Raw genomic sequence first — 14,697 nt, forward strand, 5'->3', positions numbered from 1 at the left:
ATCCAATGTATAACACAGCATGGCCTTTCCCTCTGTACAGTGAGGTGGGTAGAAACTATCCACTCTCCACACACACTGGCCACTCTTTAAAGTATCTTTTTAAATTTAGGTATGGCAGCAAGTATAACAATGTGCCGGAGAAATGATACTTAAGACATCAGTTTTAATGATAAAATGACATTTCATAAGACTTGGTATATTAGCTGGGCATGATGGCACGTGCCTGTAATCCCAGCTACTAGGGAGGCTGAGGCAGGAGAATCGCTTGAATCCAGCAGGTGGAGGTTGCAGTGAGCCGAGATCACGCTCCAGCCTGGACAACAGAGCGAGACACCATCTCAAAAAAAAGAAAAAAAAAAAAAAAAGACTTTGTAGCTTCTTCACCTCTGTATGTCTTAAGTGTCATTTAAAGGAAGAAAAAAATCCTTACATAAATCTAGAGAAGACAAGGTAAAAAGTATAATCAAGAAAACAGTCCTGTTAAGTGTCTGATTTCAATACTTGTTGAGTAAAAGCAACATTTCCTTTATTAAATGGCTTTACAGAAGATACAGCTGCTGCTGCTATACAAGGGTGGACTCAATTTTGATTTCAATTTGCTAAAATAGACACCATGAAATTGTCATTAAAGATTAGAAAAATTAAGTTTTCTAGCTTATTTTTCTGTGCCTCTGCTTAAAATCCCTGTATGGACCCCACCACCCCGAAAATAAGTTTAAATGCCTCAGTACATGGCAAACAGGTTTATACACGCTTCATTCATCAGCCCTCCCAGGACAATGCTTATGGATCCTTTAAAATGTATTATTACGTTCTTGCTCAACTCTGGGCTTTCTTCTTCTTCCCAGCCACATTCCTTCTGATTAATATCTCCTTTCCTCTGAGAAGCCCTCTCTGATCGCTCAAGGCTGGGCTGGTTGCCCTAACACCATCTCTTACGTTCACTCTAACATAACACATGCACTGTGCTGTAACTGTAGTTGTCAGTTCCCATTCTCCAGTCTACAGTGACAGTACCTTGTATCACTGAATGAATGAAGGAACATTAACTGCTAATTTGTATAGATGAAGCAATAATTCCTGTAACTAAAAGCACATCAAATTTTAGGCCAAGGAATTTGTTTACAGGAAACCTTTAGATGAAAGAAAGGTCTCAAATGCCATTAACACCTGAAAACAGGAAGATTATAAAGTACCTTAAAGTTAGAAGGTAACTGACGATATGCCTGGGTTGAAAGTCCTGAGATGATTTATAAAGCACCTCGTCGAACCTAAAAGATGACAGGAACAGTGAACAGGAAAAGACTGTACACATTACACTAAGACATTAGACATTAAAAGATTGTGAATATAAGGTTGACTCGACACGATTAAGAGTAGAAGGTATGGCCAGGCGCAGTGTCTCACGTCTGTAATCCCAGCACTTTGGGAGACTGAGGTGGGTGGATCATGAGGTCAGGAGTTTGAGAGCAGCCTGGCCAATATGATGAAACCCCATTCTCTACTAAAAATACAAAAATTAGCCAGGTGTGGTGGCACGCGCCTATAGTCCCAGCTACCTGGGAGGCTAAGGCAGAAGAATCACTTGACCCCGGGAGGTGAAGGTTTCAGTGAGCCGAGATCCAGCCACTGTACTCTAGCCTGGGCAACAGAGCAAGACTCCGTCTCAAAAAAAAAGAAGAGTAGAAGGATATGAAAAAACTGTGTGTACATTTGAAGGCAAAGGAACATTTTTCTTTCTTCCAAATTCTTTGATGGCAGGGACTTTCTAAATCATCTTGCTATTTCCTAGACCTAGTCCACAGCAAAAACTTAAATCATGGCTGGTGAATGTAAAAAGCCTCCAGCCATGTTTAAGAATATAAAATATAAATTAGCAAAGTCTACCCTCAATGCTAAGAAAACCCAGTTGGCTTATTTTTCCGTACATTCCCTATTGTACATGTGAGTAAATTTTTCTGATTCCAGGAAAGAACCACTGACTACTATATGGCAATCAAAGAAAACCACCTTGTTCATAACCATCCACATCCCTTCTAGAGACTAATCTCTGGCATGTTTGGCTTCACCAACAATGCCCGTCAGAGCTAAAATGTGTGGGTGTCTTGCCTAGCATGGGAGCATCACATACATATATGTATTTGAGATTGTGAACCGAAACCAAGAGGCAAATGAAGGACTTACGGTCTCTGGGAAGCTGCACAAAGGCAGGTATTTTCCTTCACTTACCACAGAGAGCAAGAAGATGCTCTTTCTCAAACTAAAACTAAAAAAGGTTATGCTTTTATAAGGCTTTATGTGAGCTAGAGGCAGCTAGACATGTGCGCTATTCATCAGTGATAATATTCTGAAGACCCAAAGACTGTCCTCCTTGGGCATTGGCTTAATCTATGCCCTCTGTCCTCAAAATGCAAATAATCACTTTTTAAGGCATACCTTTGGGAAAAGTCTAGAGGCAGAAGGCAGCTACTGGACTGTTGACTCTACTGGGCAGCAAAAATGCTAATAGCCATTTTGATAAGCAGAAGCACACTTGATGATCCCTGGAAAACATCATACCTGAGAAGATGCTGAAGAATTGAAACAGACTGTGGCTCTTGTAAACAAGCAGTGTTGAAGTCATTCAGGTACCCACATCCAAAAGTCTCTTCCAAACTTATCAAAAGTTTAAAGTTAAAAACATCAAAAGATTAAAAAGTCATACAAGGGCACAGAGCTGCAAGTGATGAACATGACCTTATAATACACAATTTTGGTCTCCTTAATATCCATACACAGTGGAGGTAACAGTATATTTTTCGACAGGGTTATTCTGAGGACTAAGATAATACACATAAATGTATTTCTAACATAGGTGCTCAATAAATTTTTTTTTTTTCCTAAAAGAAGGTCTACTCTAGTCAGATGTGAATAGAAGATATTGGAAAAGCCCAGAAAACAGGGCCTCTGGTCTTAGAATCACAGGACCTAGCCTAAGTAAGCACAGTGCAGCACAAGGTTTCCCTGCAGCCTCTTCTCACCTGTGGAGGCGGGCGTGTGTGTACTGTAGGAAGACTCCTGTGTCCCCGCGACTCTGGAAAACACGATCCCAGCTGAACTTGTAGTCAGATAAGAGTAAACCTTTGAAGTCCTAAAACGACAGAGGAAATCTTCACTGCTGGGATTTGCTCTAGTACCAAACAAAAGGGCCTCACAGGTAGGAGTCTTAACAGACCTGAATAATGAGTGCTGCGAGCCCGACCCTCTCTGCAGTCTCTTGTGGGTTCTTGAGTTCTTTAGTTGCTGAAACAGACAAAGGCAGCTATCTTTAGTCTACATGACACTGTGCCAATCATGGATCCAAGTGAAGGTAACATCTGCCAAAAATGTATGCTGACAATCAAGAACAGATTCAGAATGAGTAATTACTTGCCTAATTTAGGCTATTTTACCTTTGATAATGACATTTCCCCTGCCTACATTAAAGGGAAAGAAATCCAAATTTATTTATTCAAAAGATACTTGTAGGAAAAATAAATTTGGATTTCTGATTTTATATATATATATGTATGTGTGTATATATATATAAATATATATGTGTGTGTGTGTGTGTGTGTGTGTATATATATATATCTATATATATCTGATACTTAGTTTTCCAAGGGTGAAGGTTAATTAAAGTCATAAGGACTGGTGACTTGTATCCAAATTATAACATAGAAACTTCACGTAATCACCTAGACAACAGAATGTCAGTGCTCAAGCTGTTCATGAAAAGAGGACCAAGGTTATAGTAATTCAGATTATTGAAGTGACCAATTCCTGAGTAGCGAGTATAAAAATTCTGGCACCTCTAATTAGTGAAAGGTATTTTTGACAAAGTTAGTGACACTTCAATGGAGGGACAGACATAATAAATCACACTGCCCAAAGTCCAGAATAACATAAAAGTGGCACGTAAGTTATGACTTTAATAAGAAAAAACTGAATTCACTCTTAATTGAAGCCATGTTCTGTAGCATCCTTAATTGAATCTCATTTAAAACATCTTCCAGGAAAGTGACATCTCCTCTTCGAGTCTTCATTCCCTGTACTACTCCAAAGGGCACGTGCTGGCACCTAAAAGAGTGGGCATCTAGTTAACTGAAAGCTAAACAAGAGCTGCTGCTGAAAGCATATAATACCTTTCAGAGAGTGGTTTGAACTTTAACCATCAGAGCAGAGTTTTTAAAAATTAATAAAATGAAATTGATGTGATTTGTATGCTACAAAGGACGTTAAGCACAGCTTCACTTTATAATCACCAGCATGTGATTACACTACTAGTTGCCTTTAGGAGAAAAAGGAGATGTGGATTAAGAATTTTGAAAACTAAGCCACTGAGAGCAGATAACTAGTAAAAATACAGTTATTTAATGTTTATAAGGTGGAAATTATTATAACCAAGACATAATACAAAAATCAAATCTACCTTTCCACACCAGTATCTTGAAACAAAGAATTGAAATCTGAGTGAAAAACTTTAACCACTAGGTACATTTTCAGGCTCAGCTGACCCTGCACAGACAATTAAGAACCATGCAGACATTACCTTTCTGCCCAGTCATATCCCATGATCTTCAGCATTTGGAATACTTGCTGAAAATGCTTTTTTTGTCCTTTATCTGTCTTGGGAAGAAAATATATATAAAATAAAAGAATACTGACAAATTAATGTATAAAAATAGGTTGGACTTGAATCAAATTAAGATATTTGAGGTCTGACAGACTAAAGTCGTCAATTGATATGTTTTAACTAAACACAAAGAGGATGCCACAAGAAGAGTGTCTAAGTGGACTGCTCTACAAGGGAGGGAAATAAGAGCCATACAACTCCACCGAGTCAGTAGGAAATGTGAACTTCAATCTTCTGAGTATTCTATTTAAGTTTCTGCCCTCTCGGCTATTATGACCCTGGTCTCTGAGACCAAAGCTAAACTCTAAATAAATATTTGATGGTAACTTTCTTCTAAGTGGAAAGGAAGGTTTCACATGATAAGTAAGGAAAGGGGAAAAGATACTAGAATACCACTCAGCAATAAAAGGAACCAACTACTGACACACAGGACAGCCTGGATAGTTCTCCAGGGCATTCATTATACTGAGTGAAAAAAGCCAATCTCAAAGGTTACATATGGTATAATTCCATTTATACAACATTCTTAGAGTGACAAAATTGTGCTGAAGAACAGAGCACTGGCTGCCAGGGGTTAGGATTGGGTGAAGGTGTGATTATTAAGTGGCTGACCACGAGGGAGTTTGTTTTGTGATGGAACAGTTCTATATTCTGAATGTGGTGATGGTTACATGAATCTATACATGTGATAAAGTCTCATAAAACCATAGCCACACAAACATTTACAGGAGAGTACATGTAAAAGCTGGCGAAATTTCAGTAAGGTCTCTATCAATGTTAATTTCCTGCTATTGATAAAAGTACTATGGTTATGTACTATCTTTGGGGGGAAACACCGTACTATTTTGAAACTTCTTGTGAGTATTAAATTACTTCAAAATAAAGTTATTTAAAAACAACTGTTGAGCCCAAATCAGAATTGAAAAATAAAAAACAAAAAAACTTGGTATTATAGTGACCTGTATATATTAATTTCACATAACCATCTTACTGATTCAGGTAATTTTTTCTTACTATGAAGCAATGTAAACTTTTTCATTTTTAAGTGTTTAAACTTTTAAATAGAAGTTGCCCACTTTAAACATACTTAATGTTGACTTCTCTCTGTAGTTTTCCATAGTTTTTCAACATGGCATCCAATTTCTACCTCTGTAGTTTTCATGAGTTAAGAGATCATAACTTTTTGTTCTGATTACTTACCACATATATCATTGTATCAAAATTATACTTGTCCATTCGATCTATAGCAGCTGCAAGATCTCTGAAACAAAGTGGCCATAAACCAAGAGTTACTAAGCAGATCCGGGTAATAATTGGTCTTACCTATTTAATAGCAATGAGCATTTTCTAATTAAGAATTTAAATTATACCACAGCCTGAGGAATTCCACCCACACTTAGATAATCCGAATATCATGTTTTGATATAAAATGATAAAAATAGGTTTGGGAAAAACAACAATAAAAACACTGGGAAAAGCAAAACCTAAAATAAATATAAATAAATAAAATTAATACATAAAAGTTCTACAACAAGTAGTAATAACAACTAAAATAGCTCTGGGTGAAGTGTCTTGTAGATAAATGTTTTATGATTAAGTCTCTACTAAAAAGAATCACCTGTTACTTCTCTGCAATATATTCTCTTAATGAACATATTTAAAATATAGATGATGTAGTAAACAGGTATTGTCTAGATACTCTCCTATTAGTATTACTAAGGACTTTCAAAGTCTTGGGTCAGTCAGGGGGAATACCTTCTAACGCATTTAAAAGACCATAAAGTCGGCCAGGTGTGGCGGCTCACGCCTGTAATCCCAAGCACTTTGGGAGGCTAAGGCGGGAGGTTCACGAGGTCAGGAGTTTGAGACCAGCCTGACCAACATGGTGAAACCCCGTCTCTACTAAAAATACAAAAATTAGCTGGGCGTGGTGGCGCACGCCTGTAATCCCAGCTATTCAGGAGGCTGAGGCAGGAGAATCGCTTGAACCTAGGAGGTGGAGTTTACAGTGAGCGAAGATCGCACCACTGCACTCCAGACTGAGCAACAGAGCAAGACACCGTCTCAATTAAAAAAAAAAAAAAAAAAAAAAGACCATAAAGTCCTTTGACAGAATTTCTATCTCTTTTATCTCTGATTAGATACAAATATCTAGTTTGCATATGAAATAATGAAAAACCATAAAATTTCATAAACCAAAACTTCAAGTCAAGGATTATGAAATATTAAAATTTAAAATTAGAGCTATTTTTGATTATATATGATACTGGAAAGACTGAAAAAATTTCTCGATCTTTCAAAATGTTAGGGATCATCAAAATGTCATTAGTACCTATCTCATGATCCTGACATTGCACAGAGCATGCATTCTCAATGAAGGCAAAAACTGGCTAATTTTTGTGTTTTTAGTAGAAATGGGGTATCATCATGTTGGCCAGGCTGGTTTCAAACTCCTGGCCTCAGGTGATCTACCCTCCTCGTCCTCCCAAAGTCCTGAGAATACAGGCAAGAGCCACTGCATATTTTTTGTAGAGATGGGTCTCATTATATTGTCCCGGCTGCTTTCAAACTTCTGGCCTCAAGTGATCCTCCTGCTTTGGCTTCCCAAAGTTCTAAGATTACAGGCGTGAGCCACTACAGCTGGCCAACAAAAAATCTTATTCTTCATGCATAAACCACAGATATGTATACAATATATACAGAGATACAGAATATCTGTGGGATAAAATTTCATGAGGATTGGCAATTAGGAAAAATATGGCTGAAAAGGTTGCTTGGAGGAATTATAATTTTTAAAATGTTGAGAAACAGTTGTAGAGCAGATTATCACAAAAATGATGTCACAAATAGACACCTGTTATATTTTTTTGGTTTAAGATAAGGACAAAACAAAGGGAAATTTTTTGATTCAATCAAAAAACAAAAAAGAATAAGAAAAATTTCTAGGTTGAGTTTGTAGAAACTGAATTTCAAAGCCAGAAGACGTGCTAGGTCATTTAGTCCAGATCTCTCATTTCACAAAGTAGAGAATCATGGCCCAGAGAGTTAAACGACAGTCCCAGGTCTCCAGCCTCACACTCTGTTCTTTTCAGTATTCTCCTGCAGTTTTGTCTGCTATAACAACTTTCATTTACATCCCCCACACAAAGGTATTCTATAAGAAACCCATTAGAAGGCAGAAGCAACTGACATTAAAGCAAAGTGAAAAAATCAAACATTTCAATAAGTGGCAAAAAGACAATTATTTTCAAAGAAAAAAGAGAAAGTACAGGTGTTAAGGTAAATACACAGAAAAGTCTACATCTAATGACAGCCTGAAAAAACACCAAATTAGGATAGTTATAGAGACTTCATGTCATAGGGCCCCTTTTCTGACGGGATGTTTCTTTTTCCAAAGAAAAATATAGGTGTTGAAAAACTGACACCTAATGATAACCCAAAAAAGACACTAACCAGACCCGGATAGTTACAGAGCCTCTGTTCTCAATGGATACTTCTTATAACCACTGTGCAATAGTTTATTTACTTAATCTATCTAGCAATAATTAGTTGATACAAAAAACTTTTCTAATATATATATTTGCTTATCTAGAAAAATAATGTACCTCTTAGATATATAAGCTCTTCTCACTTCCTAATCCCAATTGCATAGAAATGGTAAAGGGAAATGTCGAAAAGTAATAGAAGGTAAGAGATGAATTTCCTAAGGGGAAGTTAAAAGACTTAATTGGTTGCTTAAAGTTGTTTGGAACAAATTATGGTAGTTAATATAAAACAACAAAGTATCATGACTTTGTGTTACAAAAGTGATTTGTGACCTAATATAAAATTCTGGCCTGGGAGACACTTTTGCCAGCAGTGCTTCTCTTTCCTATTAGCTTTGTCCCAGAAATAAAGGTGCTGATAAACCCACTTCTTACTGATGAACAGAGATTGGCCCTTCCACAAAGGTCAGTCACAGAGATGGATGGGAAAAAAAAATGTGACATGGCTGCTTTCTCCCTCAGCCTGCTTTACCAAATCCCAATGAGTTCTGGTATTTATGTGCATGTAAGATGTTCTTTACAGCATAAGGAAACCCCTGAGCTAATATGGTCATCTTTTAGTATACATTTCCTGCCAACGTGCCATTGTAAAATACTTTTAGTTGATTATGAAGTACTTCAGTTTTACAGTTTATAGAATAATGTCATCAGCTGTGGAATCCGATAATGCATAATTAATTGTACATAGTGTTTCATCTGAAAGCAACAGATTTAGAACCAAATGTTGACCCTCACAGAGGCTACAAACCTGGTTGCATAGAGAGAAGTCCCATCACTTCGCATTACAGTACAAATTGAGGAGGGGTCGCCATTCCCAGAGAGATCTACTACAGCCGTTCCTTTTCTAGAAATTCGAAAAGGTAACTCTGAAGCAACATAATAAATTCAGACCTTTAAAATTTTAATATCTAAAACATTAGCAAACCAGAAGCTATTTTTATTACCCACGTTGCAATGAGCAGTGCCAATTCAAGCTTTAATCAACAATGGAAAAAAACAAGAATATGACCAAGAATCTCTTATGAATGGGTATGATGTAATTAATATTTGGTTATCTTAGCTTTTAAATCTGTAGCTCTGGATAAGGTACTCAGAGATAAATTCTTTAATATACCCAGTTGAAAAATGAGATGCAGCTGCATTGTAACTATGAAATGTCACACATTCTCCTTCTAATTCATGGTATTATAACATTCAATATTGGGATAATTTTTAACATGCCACAAAGTACCCAAGTATTAAAACTACAGATTTTTGTCTTTCCTGTATGACCAAAATTTGGAATCTGTATATGACAATCTAAAAATTTTCCTTAAGGACATTACCGAGGATGCTATTAACTATGTTTCACATCTTCCTTACAAATATGACAGGAGAAAGTTTGCTTTGGTACTATGAAAAGTGACATGTCTCTTAAGCAATTGGTTTGCCTCTACATTATAGAGGTCTGGGCTTCTTTCACTGCTATTTCTCTGTTTAGCTGACAGGAAGCTAAAAGCTAAATTAGAAAACAATTAGGCAAGAAACAAAATTAAAGGCATCCAAATTGGAAAAGAAGTTAAATTGTCTCTGCAGGCAACATAATCTTTTTTTTTCAATATGATCTTATAAATAGAAAACTCTGAATATGATCTTATAAATGGAAAACCCTGAAGAATCCGCCAAAAACTGTTAGAATAAATGAATTTCATAAAGTTGCAGTATAGAAAATCAACATATGAAAATCAGTAGCCTTTTTTTCTTTTTTTTTTTTTTGAGACGGAGTCTCACTTTGTTGCCCAGGCTGGAGTGGTGCAGTGGCACGATCTCAGCTCATTGCAACCTCTGCCTCCTGGGTTCAAGCAATTCTCCTGCTTCAGCCTCTCAAGTAGCTGGAATTAGGCGCGCGCCACCACGTCCAGTTAATTTTTGTGTTTTTAGTAGAGACAGGTTTTCACTATGTTGGCCAGGCTGGTCTCGAACTCCTGACCTCATGTGATCCGCGCCCCCGGCCTCCCAAAGTGCTGGGATTACAGGCGTGAGCCACCGCGCCCAGCCAAATATCAGTAGCATTTCTATACACAACAACAAACTATCTGAAAAAGAAATTTAAAAAAAAATCCCATTTATAATAACATCAACAAAATTAAAATAGGAATAAATTTAACCAAGGAGGTAAAATATCTGTACACTGAAAACTATATAACACTGATGAAAGAAATCAAAACACAGATAAATGGAAAGATATCCTGTATTAATGGATTGGAAAAATCAATATTTAAAAAATGTCCACACCACCAAAAGCAATCTACAGATTCAATGCAATCCCTACCAAAATTCCAATGACATTTTTCACAGAAATAGAAAAATCAATCATAAAATTCATATGGAACCACAAAAAACCTCCAAATACCCAAAGCAATATTGAGCAAAAAGAATAAAGTTGGGCCAGCTGTGGTGGCTCACGTCTATAATCCCAGCACTTTGGGGGGCCAAGGCAAGTGGATCACTTGAAGCCAAGAGTTCAAGACCAGCCTGGGCAACATGGTGAAACTCCATCTCTACTAAGAAATACAAAAATTAGCTGGGTGTGGTGGCACATGCCTGTAATCCCAGCTACTTGGGAGGCTAAGGCAGGAGAATAGGTTGAACCTGGAGGTGGAGGTTGTAGTGAGCCAAGAAAGCACCAATGCACTACAGCCTGGATAACAAAGCCAGACCCTGTCTTAAAAAAAAAAACAAAGCTAGAGGCATCGCACTACCTAATCTCAACATCTACTACAAACTATAGTAATCAAAACAGCATCATACTAGACAAAAACATAGGACCAATGGAATAGAATAGAGAGCCTAGATACAAATTCACACATTTATGGTCAACTGAATTTTTTTTTTTTTTTGAGATGGAATTTCACTCTTATTGCCCAGGTTGGAGTGCAATGGCTCAATCGTGGCTCACCGCAACCTCTGCCTCCCGGGTTCAAGTGATTCTCCTGCCTGAGCCTCCCAAGTAGCTGGGATTACAGGCATGCCCCACCACACCCAGCTAATTTTTGTATTTTTAGTAGAGATGGGGTTTCTCCATGTTGGTCAGGCTGGTCTTGAACTCCCAACCTCAGGTGATCCGCCCACCTCAGCCTCCCAAAGTGCTGGGATTACAGGCGTGAGCCACCATGCCCAGCCAGGTCAACTGATTTTTGACAAAGGTGCCAAAATAACACAATAAGAAAGGGACAGTCTCGGCCAGGCACAGTGGCTCACGCCTGTAATCCTAGCACTTTGGGAGGCCAAAGCGGGTAGATCAGGAGGTCAGGAGATTGAGATCATCCTGGCCAACACGGTGAAACCCCGTCTCTACTGAAAATACAAAAATTAGCTGGGTATGGTGGCACGCGCTTGTAATCCCAGCTACTTGGGAGGCTGAGGCAGGAGATTCGCTTGAACCTGGGAGGCAGTGGTTGCACTGAGCCAAGATCATGCCACTGCACTCCAGCCTGGTGATACAGTGAGACCCCGTCTCAAAAAAATAAAAAGGAAAGGACAGTCTCTTCAATAAATGACACTGAGAAAACTGCATATCCATATGCAGAAGAATAAAACTAGATCCCTATCTCTCACCATGTACAAAAGTCAATTCAAAGTGGATTAAAGACAAATCTAAGACCTGAGCTGTAAAACTATTAGAGGAAAACACTGAAGCCTTGGCAAAGATTTCTTGGAGCTAGTCCTCAAAGCATAGGCAACAAAAGCAAAAAATACACAGATGGGATTGCATAAAACTAAAAAAGCTTCTGCACAGCAAAGAAAACAATCAACAAAATGAAGAGACAACCTAGAGGATTAAAGAAAATACGTGGAAAACATGTATCTGGTAAGGGGTTAATGTGAAAATATATAAGGAACTCAACTCAATGGAAAAACAACAACAAAAAAACTAAACCAAACCAACACCACCACTACCAAAAAAAAACCCAACTAAAAAGTGGGCCAAAGAAGCCATTATTCTCAGTAAACTAATGCAGGAACAGAAAACCAAATACCACATATTCTCACTTATAAGTGGGAGTTGAACAATGTGAACACAGAGACACAAGGAAGGAAAGAACACAGACTGGGGCCTGTCGGGGGATGGGGAGGCGGGAGAGCATCAGGAAAAATAGGTAATGGATGCTGGGCTTAACACTTAGGTGATGGGTTGCCAGGTGCAGCAAATCACCATGGCACACATTAACCTACGTAACAAATCTGCACATCCTGTACATTTGCCTGGGAACATAAAAAAAAAAAAAAAGTGGGCCAAAGACCCGTATAGACATTTCTCCAAGGAAGGCATACAAAAGGCTAACAAGTATATGAAAAGGTGCTGAACATCACTAATCATCAGGGAAATACAAAATTAAAACCACAATCCACAATAAGATATTTCTTCACACTTGTTAAGATGGCTTTTATAACAAAAAAAAAAAAAAAAAAGATAAATGTTGGCAATGATGTGGATAAAAGGGAACCCTTGTACACTGTTGGTGGGAATGTTGGTATAGCCATTATGGAAAACAATGTGGAGGTTCCTCAAAAAACAGAAAACAGAACATCCATATATATGATCCAGCAAACTCACATCTGGGTATACAACCACAGAAAATGAAATCAGTATGTCCAAGTGAAATCTGCCCTACCATGGTTATTGTAACATTATTCACAATAGCCAAGATGTGAATCAACCTTAATAGATGAGTAGACTTTAAAATATACAACAGGTAATATTCAGCCTTAAAATAAAAGGAAATCCTGTCATTTGTGACAACATGGATAAACTGAAAGGACATTATGCTCAGTGAAATAAACGATGCACAGAAAACAAATACTGTATAGTCTCACATGTGGAATCTAAAAAATTATAATCATAGAAGCAGAGAAGTAGAATGGAGGTTACCAAGGGCAGGGAATGGGGAGATGTTGGTTAAAGGCTACAAAGTTTTAGGTAAACAGGAGGAGTAAGTTCTGGAGATCTATTGTACAGCATTGTGAGTATAATTAACAATAATGCATAGTACACTTGAAAACTGCTAACAGGGTAGATTTTAAATGTTCTCATCATAGGTAAGTACGTAAGGTGATGGGTATGTTAATTAACTTGATTTCAACATTTCACAGTGTGCATATATCAAATCATGTTGTACACCATAAATATATACAATATGTCATTCATCAATTACAACTTTTTTTTTAAAGAAAAAACTCTGACATAAGCAAGAAAACAGAATTCTAGGAGGGATATGCTAACACCATCTCTGACTTCATATTACTTTTCCTGCCCCTACTTCCTGTTTTCATCATTTTCCTCATTTATAAGCCTGTTATAGTATACTTATCTTCACACACTGCCTTAAATATTTTTTGAAAAGGCAGGGATTTCTTTTAAAAGGTAAAACTGAATCAGAAGATAATAAGATATATTTCCTTTTTTCAGTTATATCATTATCAGGTTATATGACCTTAAGTAGGTCACTTATATTTTCTGTGCTTCAGTTCCCAGCCTTATAAAAAACAAGTAACATCCTTTCTCCAAGCCTGAACAGCTTTTGCTATGGAAGCAAAATACAGAATGTGGGAAAGTACTCTGAACAGGAAAAAGCACTATAAAAAATCCCAAGAAAGCTGCACATTGCATTCTGTTGTCCTTACTCAAAGGATACATCAATAACAATTTCAAAGAACAAATAATTTTACTGAAGAATAGTAACCTGATCATACATTGTTTTCAGTAGGAGTCCTTTACTCTCCAGCAACTTTAAGACCTCTTGAGATTTTTCACGATAAAATGATTCTCCTGAATATTCATCAAAATATACTCCCAGACGCTAAAAGAGTTCAGAAACAAAAAGACAAAGAAATGTTAATTGAATCTCCTATTCTTACCCTAAGGCAAAATTAAGGATGCTCTACCACCTGTCACACACATGAACACAATAAAAATTAAATCAAGGGCTGAGTGTGGTGGCTCATGCCCATAATCCCAGCACTTTGGGAGGCTGAGGCAGGAGGATCACTTGCGCCCAGGAGTTCAAGCCCAGCCTGGGCAAGATGGCGAGGACCTCATTATTTTTGTTTAAAAAAAAAAAAAAATCACTCCTCTTCTCAAACCTCCTAATAGTTTCCACTATACCAGTCAAGTCCTCACAATGGTACTGTGCTGTGCAATACAGTAATCACTAGGCCCAAGTGACAATCTATACTGTTAAACTGGAATTAAGCAAAATTGAGAATTTAGCTCTTCTGTCACACTATTCACCCTTCAAGCCACATGTGGTTGGTGGCTACTTAAGGAGACGGCCACAGATACAGAAGATTCCCATTACCACAAAAAGCACTGGACAGCCCTAGAGAAATCCTAGAATCATGCCCCATATGCTACTAGCTCTTCAACCTTCTCCTGTCGTTCATCTTGCTTACTTACTCCAGTCACACGGGCTTCTTTACAAAACTGTCGTTCCACCTGAAGACTCCATACCTGATCTC

General features: G+C 37.7%; 1 protein-coding gene across 39 annotated transcripts in view; it reads right to left on the reverse strand.

Annotated features, from left to right (window-relative positions):
• The window catches only part of RARS2 (arginyl-tRNA synthetase 2, mitochondrial), a 76,050-nt gene that overhangs the window by 1,672 nt on the left and 59,681 nt on the right, over window positions 1-14,697 (reverse strand). For 23 of the 39 annotated variants that reach the window (NR_146747.2, NR_146741.2, NR_146757.2 and 20 more), the window contains 9 exons: window positions 13,933-14,039; window positions 8,948-9,043; window positions 5,855-5,915; window positions 4,571-4,647; window positions 3,974-4,098; window positions 3,215-3,282; window positions 3,021-3,130; window positions 2,560-2,655; window positions 1,197-1,271 (listed from right to left, as the gene is read on the reverse strand). Coding sequence is in view for 16 of the 39 variants with exons in the window: in NM_001350505.2 (NP_001337434.1) it covers window positions 1,197-1,271; window positions 2,560-2,655; window positions 3,021-3,130; window positions 3,215-3,282; window positions 3,974-4,098; window positions 4,571-4,647; window positions 5,855-5,915; window positions 8,948-9,043; window positions 13,933-14,039 (815 nt within the window). In the remaining 23 variants the exon portion in view is untranslated. The other 16 variants (NR_134857.2, NR_146758.2, NR_146759.2 and 13 more) reach the window with 5 other exon arrangements.

Source organism: Homo sapiens, chromosome 6 (assembly GCF_000001405.40).
Source record: "Homo sapiens chromosome 6, GRCh38.p14 Primary Assembly".
Classification (NCBI taxonomy): Eukaryota; Metazoa; Chordata; class Mammalia; order Primates; family Hominidae; genus Homo; species Homo sapiens.